The sequence below is a fragment of the Homo sapiens genome, chromosome 6, assembly GCF_000001405.40.
Source record: "Homo sapiens chromosome 6, GRCh38.p14 Primary Assembly".
Taxonomy (NCBI): Eukaryota; Metazoa; Chordata; class Mammalia; order Primates; family Hominidae; genus Homo; species Homo sapiens.
In genome coordinates, this window is record NC_000006.12 from 145585733 (window position 1) to 145605045 (window position 19313).

General features: G+C 33.5%; 1 protein-coding gene across 2 annotated transcripts in view, besides 1 other annotated feature; it reads right to left on the reverse strand.

Annotated features, from left to right (window-relative positions):
• The window catches only part of EPM2A (EPM2A glucan phosphatase, laforin), a 352671-nt gene that overhangs the window by 202380 nt on the left and 130978 nt on the right, over window positions 1-19313 (reverse strand). The gene's annotated exons all lie outside the window — the stretch shown is intronic.
• Window positions 14581-14875: a silencer, noted in NCBI's record as "tiled region #3301; HepG2 Repressive DNase matched - State 9:DNaseU". NCBI's record gives its function as "represses a minimal TATA promoter and a strong SV40 promoter by Sharpr-MPRA in HepG2 cells {active_cell/tissue: HepG2}" and the evidence as "EXISTENCE:reporter gene assay evidence [ECO:0000049][PMID:27701403]".

The window sequence follows — 19313 nt, forward strand, 5'->3', positions numbered from 1 at the left end:
TTATAAATATTTTTGAGTTTTGTTTTGGTATACAATTAAGTTACTTGGAAACAGTTTGATCTTTTGGGCTATTGTGTTTAAAATATATTAACCAAAATTGCAGCAGTCTTTAGTTTATGGCTAATTTTGCCTTGTTCCCGACGCAAAACCCTTCTACGTATTTATCCAATTTTTCATGAATTATTAGGTTTTCCAGTTTGGCTCCTAGAAACAGGAACTACTCCAGTCTTGTGACTGGGAATTTTCACATCTAGTTTTATCTCTCACTGTAGTCTTACCTTTCTAGTCCACTGTCCCATAAACTCTAGCTCTTTTGGTCAACCTGGGCCCTCAGCTTCAGCTTCATCTCTTCAACTCAAGGAGTCTCCTAGGCTTCACCTGGGTTCTACCTTCCCGGGTTACAGCCTAGAAACTCTCTTAAATTGGTAAACTGCAGTAGTCAATGGGCTCAAGTCATTTGCTTCTCATCCCTTAGGGGATTATTGCTTGATGTTGTATCTTGAAAATCACTTTTCCATATATTTTGTCTAGTGTTTTGCTTGCTTAATGTGAGATGGTATTTTTCCTGTTATACCATCTTCACAGCTCTTCTGTAAAAAAGAATTTAACGTCTTTTTTTTATCATTATGACCTTAGAAATCATATTCTTTCAAATATTTGAGATAAACTTTGGTGCTTAGAATAGGGGCTTGCCATATGGAATAAGTAAGCAACATACAGGTTTAATAGCAGGATACTGTCAATATCAAAATATCTTTTTAGAACTGTTTATCCTTTTAATTTATATTAATTTTCTGTATCATTGAATCTATAGCCAAGGTATCTATTTTTTTGAGCATCATTAAAATGAAAGAAAAGAGCAGTGAATACCACTATATTTGAAGGTAAAGTGATATGGGTAAGTTATACACAAACTCAAAGACGCATGCCTTCATTTAGATCTTTATGGTGTTCCCCAAAACGATCCTTCCTATTTAGTTAATAGTAGTTTCCAAGCATCCTCCACAACCCTAACCTAACTTGCAAACAGATAATTTTAGAAATTAAAAAAGGGATAATTGTAGATATGTCTTCAACCCAAAAAAATGCATTCTGCTTACTCTACTTAAAACGAAACCTCACATGATTTCTGATGGTCCTTACCGGCAATCTCCTTAAAAAAGTAACTGATGATCAATTCTTATTCCTCATATTATAGCTCCCAACCTGATGGCAATGTTACCCAAATCTACTAATTGCCAAATTCAATGACTGTTGTTAGATTTTTTCATTTCCTTTTATATATGACCTCATTGAAATGTTTGAAACCCTTGAAAACTCTTATCCTCTTGAAATATTTTTATTCCATTCATTCCATTCACTGTTCCTCAGAGTTCACTCATTATATGTCACCTAGACTGTTACAATAGCCATGTAATTATAGAAGGCATTCAGTAATTGGTAATAACATAATATAACAGAACATAAAAACAGGCAAATTGGAGATGCCTCATTTGAAAGAAGCATTGTCATCCTAACATGTTGTGTTTTTTTATTAATTAGAAAAGTAAACCAAAAACATGTTTCTATTTTGTACTCATTTTATTCAATAAAGAACTCTGTTGCAAATGGTTCAGAATATATGAATTACTAATATGCCTTGAAGTGTTATTCCTCATGCAGGAAGAGGAAGAGTGATTGCCTGATGTTTACTCTCACAAACACACTTTATAATCCACAACAGAGGACAAAATATTGAGAAACAAGTTGCAGAAGAGTGAAAAATATTCTCTGCCCAGACTGCTGTGTTTATTCTCCTGCTGTGATCCATTAGTAAACAGCTGTTCCTTGACTTCTGGAGATAAGATTTCTGTCAGTACAGCAAATTGAGGACAGAAGGGACTCATTTTCTCAAACAGGTGAAGGAAGGGCCAGAACATGATTTATAATTCCTTGCAATGTATCACACAAATTACATAACCAATTCATATATTCCAATTTTCATTACTGAGCAGAATTTTCACTTAACCTAATTTGTCTATCTTTTCCAAAAGGGAAAATAACAAGAATTTGGGTTAAAGAAACTTTTAGTGCTTTATGAAACATAACAAAATATCTAAAACCTTGAAAGGCATGCCATTTTTCTAAATAAATTTATCTTATTCTCAATAACTCAACTGATGAGATTTGGAAATGAAGATTTTATGTTGGTGAAACCTTATAAACAAAACTTCTGAATTAATATTATGCATGTACGAATCAGACAGTAGAGTGGGAAAGTACTTACAGATTCAATTATCTTTCATTCTTTTGCAAAATTTATAAAGGACACACTTATCAATTGCTGACAATGAACACCAAAAACCTCAGAGTATATGTCTCTGATGAACCAGAATGAATTACACAGATGCCTGGAATGTCCCAATAATGTGCCTTTATTTCCAAATACAGGATTTTGTAAACCTCATTGAATATGGTATTGATATGTTTATCATCTGGGAAAAATATAATATTGTGGTTTAACATTCTTTAATATTGGAAAGAACCTAATGAAAACCATGAATACTGTAGGGAAATAAGTTAGATTTACTTTAGAGGCCTGTTTATTCTTCATTTAACAAGAATGGACAAATCATACAATTCATGGATTAATTCATTAGAGAAGAGAATTGAAATTCTTCATTTGGAACATGTTTAACTTGGGAGAATTAAGTCATTTTTGAGAAATGTCCTTCAGAAAACCTGACTCCAATTTTCATTACTAATTCAAAAATTAATTCAAAGGTAATTGAAATTTGGGAAAAGTGTTAAGAAAAATGTTAAAGTATGAAAGTTTAGAAAAAATCACATTAATCAGCACTCATTGTTCTATGTTGTTTTTTCCTTTGAGCCATACATGCATTGTATAAAAACACTCCCATTTTGTCAATATAAAATCATCAGCATTATTCATTCAAACTATTTTTGAGCACTTACTACATGCCAAGAACAGTGCAAGACGTTGAAGAGTTTAAAATGATTAAAGTATAGTTTGTGACTTATGTTTTATAGTCTATAAACTTAAAATTTCACTATAAAAGGGAAACAGGTGAAGATTCAAGAACAATATGTTGTGCCAAACAAATCAAGCCCATAGGAATGGAGAGAACACATGGTTATTTGAGCAGGGGAACTTTACTATAAGGAGTTTTTAACTAGTAGAAGGTAGAACTACTAAAAGTTATGGAAGAGGATTCTAAGAGGTCCAGGCATGGCACAAGCAAGAGAAGCTACTACCCCCAGGCTGAGGAAAAGTGGAAAATAAAGGAACTGATAACTAGGAAAAGGCCCTGCCCCAACCCTGGCTGTGATCTAGATCTCTTCCAAAATATTCGTCTATGACAGGAACAAAGCTTGCTGGTGACAAATAATCTTGCCAGAAAGAAAGGGACAGTGCTGTTCTCTAGAAGCAGCCCAAGTTGCTGGAATGTCTGAGCCATCTGGAGCTGATTTACAGAAGCAGTTCACCATTGCCAAAGGGTGTGAATGGATTAGAGCTACTTGGAAGAGGCTGTTCATTAGGAAAGTATGGCCTGGTTACTTTACTTATAAAGTATTTTATTTTTAATAAAAATAAAAATGTTTCCATTTTTATTGAAATGGGCTGAGTATCATTGCTGGGGAATGTGCACAAGGTATATTGGGGATGATAAAGAAGTAGATTATCTGAGGTAGCAATCAGACAGAGGGATTTTGTGAAAGACGTGTTTAATGAGAATTTGTCTGAAGACATGGTGTGCAGTGTGTCACTGTCATCTTTCCAATGCCTCTGTAAATCTTAAGTAGAGACTACAAAACTAAGAAAAAGAAAATAATAATAAAATGGTGAGTTGAATTAGATTTCATTTAAAAACTAGTGAAGGGTCTGAGTTTTACCAATTGTTTAATGTTAAGCCAAAAGAGGATCAAGTGTATGAATGAAAAGATTAATAATATCTGGAAGATGGCGAGGACCTCAATCTTGGTGATGCCCTGTATAGCAGCCACTGCATGCAAACCATCCAAAAGACCACCAGCAGCCGGAGAGTGGATAGCAAAGTGGTATCTGAGACCAATGACACCAAAGTTCTGAAGCATTAAGCCAGCAGAAGCAGGGTACCCTTTGGGGAGCAGGAGGCCAATGAAAAGTTCAGAGGTTAAAAAAAAAAAAAGAAAAAAAAGAAAGAATACTCCCATCCTTAAGATAAGAATTTTTAAAACTAAACAATCTGAAAATCAACAATCTCTTCAGAGAATCGAGGTCATAGGGTAAACCACCACACAAATTCTAGAAAGACAACAGAATACAGAGAAATATTGCCAAGCTCTATTTACCCACAGCAGGAGTTTCTGGAGCTACAAATTATAGAAATACTTAAACACTAATTTTGACAACTTGCTGTAGACTAAGTATAGACTACCATGAGAATGAGAAACTCCTACAGGCCACAGTCTTGGGAAAATCTTCACACTTTTGTGGGTTTTACCTCTAGGAATCTCAACAGGTTCTCATGGTCAAGAGCCAAGAGAAACTCCCCTCACAATTCTGTCAGGGGAAGAGGGGAGTAGCCATTTTTAAATATACCAACTATTCTACATAACAAGAAAAAGATTTTACCAGAGCCTAATACACCTGGGGAAAGGGCACTTATTCTCCTCCAGCACCCTCTAGCCTTCGTATCTCACTTAAATGGAGGGCAAAAACTGAAAAATAAAAAAAAAGAAAATTGTGCCATTCACAAGCCAATAATACAGGCCCACAGGCCCAATAAAAGACTGAAATTTAACCATAAGATTATAGATTACTTCCCCTTCCCCATACCTAACTGCCACATCTACAGGGTCCCTATATAATAATAATAGATTGCACATTAAAGAGCTGCAAGCCACTGACTTAAGGTAAACTTCTTAGGGAATTCTGAAGATAACAGGAGAGACCAGAACAAGGACATTAGAGGAATCTGAAGTCTCTGGCACGTACAGCAAACATGAAATACATCCTACCTCCTGGTCAGATTAATATAAAACCTCACACTAAAGGCCCATTTACCACAGTTCCTTTTACCCAATACATCATGCTCAGCTTCAAAAAATCATAATAATAACAGGCATACTAAAAGACAAATAAGAAAAAAACAGTATAAAAAGTTTAACCTAGCATCGAAGCCAGACTAAGATATGGCACAGATTTTGAAATATCAAACAGAAAATTTTAAATATTTATGATTAAAATGTTAAGAAATCTAATGGAAAAAGTTAATAACTTGCTAGAATAGGTGAATAACATAAGCAGAGAGATAAGAACTCTATGAAAAGATCAAAAAGAAATGCTGGAAGTAAAAAACACTAATAGAAATGAAGAATGTTTTTGGTGGGTCCATCAGTAGATTGGGCACAGCCAAGGAAAGAATCAGTGAGCTGAACTGAAATGCAAAGATTAAAAGAATAAAAAAAGAATAAGATGTCAAGAACTATAGCAAATTTCAAAAGGTATAACATAGACATATTTGGAATACAGGAAGGAGAAGAAAGGCAAAATAAATAAAAAAAACTATTGGAAGTTACAATGGTTGAGAAAATTTCTGGAATTAATGACAGACATCAAATCATACATCAAGGACGGTCAGAAATCATAAAACAGGGCTAAATAGCAAAATGCCTACATGTAGACAGATCATCTTCAACTCTAGAAACCCAAAGACAAAGAGAAATTACTAAAATAAGCCAAGGGGAGGAAATAACTTTACCTATAGAAAAACAAAAACAAGAATTACAGGAAACTCTCATCACAAACCAACAAAAAGAGTGCAGTAAAGTATTTAAAGTGTTGAAAGAACAAATCACCAACTTAGAACTCTACATTCAACAAAATTATCTTTAAAAAGTGAAGGAGAAACACTTTATCAGGCAAAAAGCAGGTAATTCAGCAGCAGCAGACCTGCACCGTAAGAAACGTTAAAAGAAGCTCTTCAGAAAGAAAGAAAATGACCTAAGTCAGAAATTCAGATCTATATAAAGAAAGGAAGAGATACATTTGTTAAGGTAAAATAAAATATTTTGTTACAAATTTTTAGTTGTTTTAAAAGATAACTATTTTTATTTTATTAATAATAGTAACAATATACTAGATGAGTAAAGCAAATGAAAAAGGTAAAATTAATATTATAAGGATGGAAAAAAGAAACTGGGAATATTCTGTTATAAAATACCTATACTACACCTGAGACTGTATAATGTTATTTGAAGGTAAGTTTATATTCATTAGAAATGCACATTTTATTGTATTTTTTTAAAATTATACTTTAAGTTGTAGGGTACATGTGCACAAAGTGCAGGTTTGTTACATATGTATACATGTGCCATGTTGGTGTGCTGCACCCGTTAACTCGTCATTTACATTAGGTATATCTCCTAATGCTATCCCTCCCCCCTCCCCCCACCCCATGACAGGCCCAGGTGTGTGATGTTCCCCACCCTGTGTCCAAGTGTTCTCATTGTTCAATTCCCACCTATGAGTGAGAACATGCGGTGTTTGGTTTTCTGTCCTTGCCATAGTCTGCTCAGAATGATGGCTTCCGGCTTCATCCATGTCCCTACAAAGGACATGAACTCATCCTTTTTTATGGCTGCAAAGTATTCCATGGTTTATATGTGCCACATTTTCTTAATCCAGTCTATCACTGTTGGACATTTGGGTTGGTTCCAAGTCTTTGCTATTGTGAATAGTGCCACAATAAACATACTTGTGCATGTGTCTTTATAGCAGCATGATTTATAATCCTTTGGGTATATACCCAGTAATGGGATGGCTGCGTCAAATGGTATTTCTAGTTCTACAATGGTTGAACTAGTTTACAGTCCCACCAACAAGTGTAAAAGTGTTCCTATTTCTCCATATCCTCTCCAGTACCTGTTGTTTCCTGACTTTTTAATGATCACCATTCTAACTGGTGTGGGATGGTATCTCATTGTGGTTTTGATTTGCATTTCTCTGATGGCCAGTGATGATGGGCAAGAAATGCATATTTTAAACCCTAGGACAACCACCAAAAAAGCTTTTTTAAAGAAGCATAATGATACATTAAGAGAGGAGATAACAATGGAATAATAATAATAAAGCCTCAAATAAAAAGAAGGAAAGCACAAAAAGAAGGTAAAAGATATAAATAACAAGCTGTAATAAATAGAAAACAATAACAAATATAGCAGATATTAATTCAACCATATCAATAATCACTTTAAATATAAATAATCTAAACACACCAATTAAAAGACAGAGATTGTCAATATAGATAAAAACAAGACCCAACTATACACTGTATTCAAGAAACTCACTTTAAATATAAAAAGTCAGTTAGGTCAAAGCAAGGGGATGAAAAAGATTTACCATACCAACAATAAATAAAAGAAAGCTAAAGAGTATATATTAATTTCAAACAAAGCAAACTTCAGAACAAGAAAAATTTTCAAGGATAAAGGAGGACATTACATAATGATAAAGGCCTATTCTCCAAGAAGACATGACAATTTAATTTGTATGTACATAACAACACAGCATCAAAATAATGAGACTAAAACTGGTAAACTGCAAGAAGAAATAGGCACATCTACTTCAACACACCTTTTCAGTAATTGATAAATCAAGCAGGCAGAACATCAGTAAGGATTTTTTTGATCTGAACAACACTGTGAATCAACTCGCTCTAGTTGATATTTACAGAATTCTTCATTCAACAGCCACATTATACAAATTCTTCTCATATTACATAAAACATTCACCATGACAGATCATGTTCCAGGCCATAAAACACACCTTAACAAATTTTTTGAACATAAAAATTATATAAAGTATGTTTTCAGAACAAAATGGATGTAACTAGAATTTAGCAACAGAAACAGAGCTTGGAATTCCCAAATATTGAAAGACTAAACAACTCACTGCTAAATAACATATGGGCCAAAGAAAAAATTCTCCAGAGAAATTAAGTTACTTTACTCTAAAACTTATCAAAATCTACAGGAAGTATCAAAAGCAGTGCTTAGATGAAAATTTTTAGCATCATTAAATGCATATTATTAGAAAAAAGAAAGACCTAAAATACGTAATCTAAACTTTCACCTTAGGAAAGCAGAGAAAGAAGAATGATTTAAGCCTAAAGTCATCAGAAGAATGGAAATAATACAAACTAAAGCGAAAATCAAAGAAATTAAAATATAAAACAATAGAAAAAAACAACAAAAGCTGATTCTTTGAAAATATAAATAAAATAATAAAACTCTAGCCAGGATAGCTTAGAGAGAGAGTGAAAAAGAGAACACAAATTACCAATATAAGTTTTTTAAATATGTTGTTATTACTGATCCATGGCTACTAAAAGCATAAGAAAGGAATTCTGAAAAAACAACTCTAGGCCCACAGATTTGATAACTTAGATGAAATGGGCCAGTACCTTAAAAGACATAAAATACCAAAGCTCACACAAGGAGAAATGGATATTCTGAATATCCTTAATATGTAGCTATTAAAAATCTATTTAAAAAATTAAATCAATAATAAACCCTCAAGAAAAAAAATATAAGGTTCATTTCTTATTGAAAGAATTGGTAGAATTTAAACTTGTTCATTGGTAAATTATCCTGAGTATTACAGTAAGAAATGATACTAATTTCCCATAACGTCTTCCAGAAGATACAAGCAGGGAGAATACTTCCTAACTCATTCTAAGATGCCACATTAGCTTAATGCTGGAACTCGATAGATATTACAAGAAAGAAAAATCACAGGCCAATATCTCTCATGCACAGACATTAAAAAAATATATACAGTAAAATATTAGCAAATTTAATGCAATAATATACAAAAAATTCTACACCATAACAAAGTTGAATCAATATCTTTGTATATACATTTTAAAAATACTTTTACTCAATTATTTTTAAAGAAATATTCCTAGAATTAGAATTGCCAGATAAAAAGGTATGTACACTTTGAAGAATTTCAATGAATATTTTAAAAATTATTTACAGAACAGCCAATTTAATTTTTATTTCCATCACAAGAATTTAGGACAGCTATTTAAGCCATTATACATGTTCCCTAGTGAATTACCATGTTTAATTTCCCATTAGGTTTTTTTAATGGTTTACATAGTGAGGATTTATAAAGATTTTATTATTTTATAACTGAACTTTCTTCTGTAACATTTGTCTTTTCACCCTTTTTTGATGTTTTTGTCCCAATTTTTTTTTCTTAACTTTTAGTAGTTAAAAATCTAAATATTTAATTCATGGTATCAGACCTTAGGCCATACTTTTTAAAATGTTTTTCTTCTAGTCCTTTGTAATCTGGAATTCATTCTAAGATTAGCAGAGATCTGTCTCTTTTTTTAATCATTTGTTATCTTGGAACTATAATTTGTCTATCTCCCCACTGGCTTTAGTTTTCAAGTGTATTGTTAATTAAAAATTCTGGGGTCTATTTTGTATTCTCTATTTTATTCTTTTGATATGACCTTCTGCTCTGAAATCAGAACCATCTTGCTTTAAATATAAAAAGCCATGCAAACTTCAGAACAATGAAAATGATCATGGCTAAAGAGGGGCATTACATAATGATAGAGGCCTATTCTCCAAGAAGACATACTATAGGAATAGATATTTCTACTATGTGCTATCTTTTACTTAAAAAAAAAAAACTTATAGCAACTCAGATTGCTTTATCCTTTTAATTTAATCAAATTCTCAGAAAAAATTTATATTGATTTTAAATTTAATTGCAGTTTAGACAGAATTAACATCTTTACACACTCTTTTCATAGACTTTGTCTATTCATTTCAAATAGACAAGGATATATCTATTTTATATTTTTTATTTCATGGTTTCATTGCTCTTTTAAATTATATATATGGGAGGGTTTAGCCAATTATGATTCTCAAAAGAGAGCAAAGCTACTGTTTTTGCATATTGATTTTGAAATGTCACCTTTCAGCTCATTATTTTCCAGAGAATTTTTTTTGAAATAGATAGTGATATTATAGCAAATAATAATAACATGCCTTCTTTTACAAAGGATTTTATACTTTATTTTTTTCTCATTTTCTTATCTTTAATGTCTTGGCTAGCATTTTCAGAACAATGTGCAATAATGACAACAATAGTGTGCATCCTTGTCAGCATTCTGATGTCAATGGAAACACCCCAGTGATGAATAATGTTGGCTGCTGATTTCTGGCCTCCAGAACACAGAGCAATAAAAATAGATGTTAGTAACAAAATGTTAACCCAAAACAGTAAAATCATTGGAAATTTAAAAGTCCTAAACAACTAACAATATTCCTTAAAAGTCAAGGAAGTATGTTTGTATCTTTATGTTCCAAGACTACGTATTATCATATCAGTAATACTTGTGATTAATCAAATGTTTATTAGTGTTTATTGTGATTGACAACTAATTTTTACACTTTGCTAAACTACACTATTAGATTTCCTGATGAAATATGTTTGTATGATAGGTAATTGTGCAATTTGTAATTTTGTACTGCTTTTATATGTTGCTGAATAAAATTTGCTAACTTCCCAGAAGCAACCACCTTCTACTTCTTCCACTATTGTTTTGGAGAGTTCCCTCCAGATCTCTAAACAATATGCATCTAATACATATTGTCAATAATATTACAGTTTCTGCTGATTATTCTGTTAGATGAAAATCTCTTATGGTTCCTTTACCCATTTTCCCAGTATTAGTATAATGTAAGTTTTATAACATATATGTAAACAGAATATTTTTGTCATTATAACTCTGTACTCTTGAGTATATTATAATTTAATTCCCCTTCTTTTGGTTCTTCCTGGAGTCATATATTTCTTTTTTAGTTCATTTACTTTATTTTCCTTAATGGCCTCCTACACCTTTATTTTCTATTAATGGCTTCCTACACCTCCCACATTTTGTAAAAACATCTCTCCATATAATTTTCTACTCTGTCACACTGATAGTTCATTAGTTCTTGATATATCCACACCCTTCGTGGGACTCTCTCACATTCTGCTATCATTTGGACTAGATTCTCTCTAAGCCTTCAACACACTCATCCTAGGCCTTCCTACTCTTTACTTTCTTCTACGTTGTATATGCTCTCTCCGAGATCTTTTTTTTTTTTTTTTTTTTTTTTTTTTGAGACGGAGTCTCGCTCTGTCGCCCAGGCCGGACTGCGGACTGCAGTGGCGCAATCTCGGCTCACTGCAAGCTCCGCTTCCCGGGTTCACGCCATTCTCCTGCCTCAGCCTCCCGAGTAGCTGGGACTACAGGCGCCCGCCACCGCGCCTGGCTAATTTTTTGTATTTTTAGTAGAGACGGGGTTTCACCTTGTTAGCCAGGATGGTCTCGATCTCCTGACCTCATGATCCACCCGCCTCGGCCTCCCAAAGTGCTGGGATTACAGGCGTGAGCCACCGCGCCCGGCCTCTCCGAGATCTTATACCTTCTTCATTCTGGTTTATTCACTTGTTTTGATGGAAGTACATTCTTTATCATGTTCCCAAGAGATGCTGCAAAGGAGATAAATTCTTAGAGACTTTATGATTCTGAAAATATCTTCTTCTACACTTACATTGCTGGTCAATTTGGCTAAGCCTATAATTATTTTCCCAATAGAAGATTGCTTCATTGATTTCTAGTTTCAAATTATGATTTTGAGATGCTATTATTATTTCAGATCCTTTGTATGTGACCTGTTTATTTTTTTTTCTTTTTTTTGGTAAGTTTTACACTATCTGAAATCATGATTAAAGGTTGTGATATGGCTCTTTTCTAATTTTTTTGTGTTGCATAATCAGTGGGCTTCTTGTTTTTTTAACTTTTCTTTTAGGTTTGGGGGTACATGTGAAGGTTTGTTACATAGATAAACACATGTCATGGGGATGTGTTGTACAGATTATTTCATCATTCAGGTACTAAGCCTAGTACCCAACAGTTACTTTTTCCACTCCTCTCTTTCCTTTCACCCTCAAGAAGGCCCCAGTGTCTGTTGTTCCCTTCTTTGTGTTCCTGAGTTCTCATCATTTAGCTCCCACTTATAAATGAGAACATGCAGTATTTAGTTTTCTTTTCCTGCATTAGTTTGTTAAGGATAATTGCCTCCAACTCCAGGCATGTTTCTGCAAACGACATAATCTCATTCTTTTTTATGACTGCATAGTATTCCGTGGTATGTATGTACCACATTTTCTTCATCCAGTCTGTCACTGATGGGCAGTTAGGTTGATTCCATGTCTTTGCTATTGCAAATAGTGCTGCAATGAACATTCACATGCATGTGTCTTTATGGTAGAATGATTTGTATTCCTCTGTGTATATACAAGTAATGGGATTGCTGGGTCTCATGGTAGTTTTGTTTTTAGCTCTTTGAGAAATAATCATACTGCTTTCCATAATGGCTGAACTAATCTATACTCCCACTAACAATGTATAAGTGTTCCCTTTTCTCTACAACCTCACCAGCATCTGTTATTTTTTGACTTTTTTTTAATAGCCATTCTGACTGGTGTGAGATGGTATCTCACTGTGGTTTTGATATACATTTCCCTAATGATCAGTGACGTTGAGCTTTATTTCATATGTTTGTTGGCCCTATGTATGTCTTCTTTTGAAAAGTGTCTGTTCATGTCATTTGCCTACTTTTTAATGGGGTAGGTTGTTTTTCTCTTGTAAATTTGTTTAAGTTCTTCATAGATAATATCTATAAGATAGTAAAAGATAATATCTGATGGATATTAGACCTTTGTTAGATGCATAGTTTGCAAATATTTTCTCTCATTCTCTAGGTTGTCTGTTTACTCTGTTGATAGTTTCTTTTGCTGTACAGAAACTCTTAAGTTTAATTAGATCCCAGTTGTCAATTTTTTGCCTTTCTTGCAATAGCTTTTGGTGGCTTTGTCATAAAATCTTTGCCTGTTCCTATGTCCAGGATGGTATTGCCTAGGTTGTTGTACAGGATTTTATAATTTTGGCTTTTACAATTAAGTCTTTACTCCATCTTGAGTCGATTTTTGAATATGGTGTAGGGAAGGGGTCTAGTTTCAAACTTCTGCATATGGCTAACAAGTTACCCCAGAATAATTTATTGAATAGTAAATCCTTTCCCCATTGCTTGTTTTTATCAGCTTTGCTGAAGATCAGAAAGTTGTAGGTGTGCAGCCTTACTTCTGGGATCTCTATTCTGTTTCACTGGTCTACATTCCTGTTTTAATAGTATTACAATGCTGTTTTGGTTACTGTAGCCCTGTAGTACAGTCTGAAGTCAGGTAACATGATGTCTCTAGCTTTGTTCTTTTTGCTTAGGATTGCCTTGGCTATTCGGGCTATTTTTCCAGTTTTACATGAATTTTAAGATAGTTTTGTTCTAGTTCTGTGAAGTACGTCATTGGTAGTTTGGTAGGAATAGCATTGAATCTATAAATTGCTTTAGGCAGTATAATCATGTTAATGATATTGATTCAGTGGGCTTTTATAATCTGAAAATGTATGTCTCTCAGTTTTGAATAATTTTCTTTTACTATGTCTTTCATAATTTCTTCCTCAATGTTTATTCTGTGCTCCCTTTAGGTAATTTCTACTAATTAGTTACTGTACTTCTTTTATTAATACTCTAAAGTTTTTTTTCTTTTCTTTATTATTGTCCTTCTTTATTCTCTTTGTTCTGCTTAGTGGAAGACTTCTTTAACTTTTATCTTGCAAGCCCATCATTGAATTTTTAATTTCATCTGTCATATCTTTAAAAGATCATTCTATTTTTTCTGATTAATTCTTCTTTATAGCATTCTCTTCTTTTTGGGTGGATACAATAATTTGATCTTTTAAAAATATTGGTTATAATTCTGCTTCTGTATGTTTTGGTCTTTTTCTTATATATTGGAATCTTCTATATATGAACATCCTTAGTTATTTGCATATATTTAAGAATAAAAAACTAAAAATCTCATTAGATTCTGCTTTACATATATAATTAGAGTCCTTTGAGCATGGATTTTATCTAGGACAATTGAGTGGGTAAATTTCTTTTTAATGGATCACTTAAGTATTAAAAATAAACTATCATCTGTAAACATTGTATGTTTCTCCATTTACACAAATTTCCCTCTATATTCTTTAATCAAAAATTGAACACTGTTACATTTTTCTTCATAAATTACAAGTATATTTCTTTGGCAGATTAATTTCTGGGCAAATAATAGTTTATGTTATAAAGTTTTGTCTCCTTTTAAATTGTATTTTCTAACATGTCATTTCTGGATATAAAAATGATATTGAATTTTACCTGTTGATCTAATAATTGGCAACATCATTGAACTCTCAATTTTTCTAGGTTTCTTTATATTCTGTCTTATTTTTCATGTGGACAGCCATATCATCTGAAAATAGTAACAATATTATTTTCTTATTTCTAATTTTTCCACTTGTTATTTCCATTTTTATCTTTTTACATTCACTGTGATATCATCTTCTCTGTATTTATTGTTTCAGGTGGGTTTGGCTAGATCTCAGTCCCCTGCAAGGTTTCTAACAGAGTTCTTGGTACCATCCCTACCTAGTTCTCTCTTATTTCCAACATTAGAAAACTAGGATTCCCTACATACAATGATAGCAGAGTTTTTCACTGGTCATCTCCCAGTCTGTCCTTCCACCCCCTCACACCACTGTTAATCCGCCTAAAGTGCTGTCCTTTCAAAGAACACTAAGCCATTGTTTTCCTATCTTTTCAGTTATTTTCTCCTGAGTTTTGCAATATCTGCCTGATTTGTAGGTTACTGGCAATGGTAGTTGCTTAGGAGTGTGTACCAGTTATCAACTTATTGCTTCTCAGTTCCAATCAACCCTTCGTCTGTTTGTGACACTAGGATATTTTTCCCTCACCAGTTGCCTTGATATTAAGCTTTAACAGTAAAAGGTGCTGGAGAGACACTGAAGGAGGTGCTTTCCTCCTGGAGTTTGGTGATGCCTTCTCAGTTGGCTCCCCAGCAACCTGAAGCACAGGACTTCCTTTAGGCAGTTTATCCTGACAACCTAGAGGGCCATTACCCAGGACAATATCCAAGCAGGTGGCTTCTCAATGATTTCTTCAGCAGAGTGTCTTTCATGGATGGCTTCACCTGTCCCTCAGAGGGCACAGAGTTCTGACAGCACTTTAACAAAGTCTCCACTGTCCAGAGGGTCATGGCTGTACCCTTTCCAATGAGATCTGAATCTCTCCCCAGGTTGGGGGGAGGCAGATGATGGGATCTTCCAGACTTGCTCCTTACTTGGAGGCTCTGCCTTAGCCCTAGAGGCAGGGCTGCTACCATATCTGTTATCCCTTTATTTATTAGAGTTTTGTTGACTTTTTAGTAGCAATTCTCTGTTATTATTAACACTTATTTATATTAGATTTTTCCTGTTGATATGGCTATGTGGGATTTCTGTCTTTTGATTAAACCCTGAATAATATAAGGTATAACCTTTTTATTATCACTTTATCTACAGACCTATGGTGACCATACCTCTCAGAATCCACTTCACCTGTTGTTTTTCCCCTTTTTATTTATTTGTTTGTGTGTGTTGTTTTTGTTTTTGATGTTGTTTTGGCCAGGTATTCATTGGGACTTTTCTACAAATATAAAAATAAGAACGTGACAGTGGTGGTAGTAGTACAGCAGGGTTTTAGAATTTAGGGATTGGAGTGAATTTAATCAGATTTCTATTGGGAATCTACTCTTAGGGAAGAACTTACAGGTCTTAAAGGATTACCAGATATCTAAATAGGAATATTCATTCCTTTGTTCTGTGTGTGTATGTGCATTTCCCAACTAAGTGTTTTGTAATGCTTCTTGCTCCCCAGACCTTATTAACTTACGATGTTCAAAGCATAATATCAGCATGATGGCAAGGCCTATTTAGAGTGTTGTACATCATGGAATATTAAAGGAAACATTTATCCTTCTGTGTGGCTAATATGCACCTCTTCAAAGTAGAAACTGAAACTTTCTTTCCCAGCTTCCGTGCAAGTAGAAACTAGTCATGTGACCTCTTTTTGCCAATCAGGTATACTCTCATGAGGGATGAATCCAGGTATTGTGTGAACTAAAGCTTATACAATTATAGGCGCCTCTTTTAAGAAAAAGAATACATTACAAATACAAAGTAATGCACAAAATATATTTATTTAAAATGAGAAAAGGAATTACAATTAATTATAAATTTGAAAAAGTTGACAAATTACTAACATACATTTTTAATTAAATGACTTCTTGTCATACCTGTATAAATGCTCTCTTTCCCGTGTTACATGAATTCTCTTTGCTTCTTCATGGGAATATATTATTTTCTTATTTTCTATTTAAAAATTAAAATGTATTTTAGTCTTCCCATTGATAAGTTAGATCAATATTTGTTTTTTATTTATTTGGGATGTATACAACATTCACACACAAATGTGCTTACTGTTTGTAGTACTGCCATAGGTCAACTTTATTAATATTTATTAATCTTAATACATTCTAGTTCATGGATTCCCATCAATACAAGAAAAATATATTTGTTGCATTGATAATTATACATGTCACATTATGAAGTGTATATCTAATAAGAGAAAACTTTCCTTTTGACTTGACATTGATGATAACCAGATCATCTGCTTACAATATTATAGATCTAATGACTGGAAGAATTTGCCCCAGACTAGCTTCCTATTCAATCCTTGTTCTCCTCCATTACCCACACACCTATGGTGGTGCCCCTACAAGACATATTCATATTGTATGGCCTCTGGCCCTGCAGCTTTGTGTCATAATGCCAGATGAGTCAGTACTCAGTACCATGGGCAACAGGAATTTTTCTGGAAGCCATTCCTATACCAGGATGGTTGTCAATAGTTTAGTTTAATTCCTCCCAGAGTGCCTCAAAACTACACAAACATATCCCATTAAATGCTAAGTAAGTATCCTAATTTCATTTTCTGTTAGATTCCAAAAATTCTTGGGGCCACTTCAAAACCATCTGACATAGGAAAAAGTGTTACGGAGGGGAAACTGAAATAGAAGAAAACAGCAGTCTTAACTTATTGAGATTGGAATACCTTACTTTTCCACATTTTACAAAAATGTGTGACCCAAAGGAATACATTACTTGAACCACCCCCGAGGTTTTGGAAGGAATCCACGCAAGTCAGCATAAGCCTCAGTAGCTTCATGGAAATCCTGCCTCTGTTCATGAGATCAATTTTGGAAGACAGCTCTGTGAAGAAGTAAGGCTCCTCCTAGAATTCATTTCAATGAAGTGGCCAGAGAGATCCCAAGTCCAGAGACAGAATAACAGGAGTCTTCATGCTGGCATCTCTGCCCCAGTTGGCAGGGCACTCTGAAATGTCTATGCTTGGCAGTGGAAATGACAGCATCTGCTGAGGTCGCCCAGTGGTGCAACTTGGGCATCATTTCTGGCTGTGACATCCCCAAACCTATGAAATTCTTTTTTCTGCACAAACTAAACTACTTAGAAGAGAATCTGTTATCTCTAAATTAAAAAAAAAAAAAACTGTTAAAGTAAATGAGCCTGACCCCTTCAACCTGCAAATTGTCAAAGTAATTGGATGAGAAGTTATTCTTGCCTGAACCCTGAGCCCATCAGGTTCTTTTGTATGTGCTCTGGAACTGCATTCTTTCTTTCAAAGCACTCATTTCAGTTTTATTGCACATTTTTATGTGATTAATTGACATCTGTTTTCCAAAACATTAAGAATCCTGAGATCAGGGACTATGTCTATTTTAGTTACTGGTACTTATCTCCTGGCATGTAGCAGGTGTTCAATAAATGTTAACTGAAAGAAAATGAAAGTGCTTATTAAATGAATCTACTTTCCTCTTTTATATTTGTACCCTGCACTTACCATTATTACCACATTTAACACATTCTATTGAAATTATCTGTTTATGCATCTGCACACTCTATTAGATTATAAGCTCTTAGAAGGCCAATATTATTTCTGAACTATCTAAAAATCTCCTGTTAAGTACTCAACACATGTTTATTGAACTGATCTATGCCATTAACTGGAAATTAGTATCTCTGCCATGAATCCCAAATGGCTTACTTAACTTCTTTGAGAGTCCACGTTTTTTTATTTGTAAAGAAGCTATTCTAGAGATGATCTCTTAGAATACTTACCAGTAACATGTAAAAGTTATACGATTCTAAATACAAAATATATTCTCATATCTCAAAATGCTAACAATATCTTAAACAATTTAAATGAAAACAAAAGGCCTTTGGGGTACATTTGAAGATGTGGGAAGAAATTTCATTAAAATACATAGGATGAAAATGTGTTTATTATTTGATTTTTGCTCAACAGATTTATAGACAATAAAATGTTTGTTCAGTGAAGCCAACTTGAATAGCCATTAAAAAGTTTATGCTCTTTTGGGACCATGTGGAAAAATTCCAAAAATGTAAGTGTATTATTTTAGAAAATAAAGTAGTTTGTCCTTCTTGGGAATTTTAGAAATATTATTATGCCTGCTGGATAATATTACCATATACAAAGATCTGAAGGTTTCTTTCAGGAATTTAATATCATACTCGAAAAATAACATATTAGATGTTTGGATACCTTGACTATTTAGTATGTCTCACTTTTAACAAATTTGATTTCTACTAAAGAATAAAACATATGTATATTTGAATGACTCAGTTGTAGCTTTCACTGGCTCTTATAAATGCACATTTTATATTGAGTCTGCAAAAAACCACCACTGGAAAATCCAACCCAGACACAGAAAAGTATCTTGAAATAGTCTATTAACATGAAATAATGTTTTCCCCATAAATGAAAGCTTTCTCCCATTTAGTTTTATTGCAATCTCCAAATTAAATAATTAATGAGCAATACTTTACTGAAAACTGTACAGTAGTTAGTGGCACTTACTCCAGAGCCTGAGAATAAGTTTCATAAATCAAATAGTTAATCGGAATCTTTCAAAGAAATAGAAGAGAAAACGAAGGCAATCTGAGGGGAGAATGGGTAAATGAGAGTAGCTGCTGTATTTTCTTCTCACACTGACATGCAGAAAATGTCCCTTAGTCAACAATATAAAAATAGAATAAAGCATATTACCTCTAGCTATTTCCAATTTCCCTTTTCAAACAATTGTGAGAGTGAAAAATATAAGGTATGTGGATGGTTTGCTAAAAAGATCTAACATTGAAAAACACTAACAGGGACCATGAAGCTTTAAAGATCACCCTGCCTAGACTGCCAACATATCTAATGGAGAGGGGTAATCATTG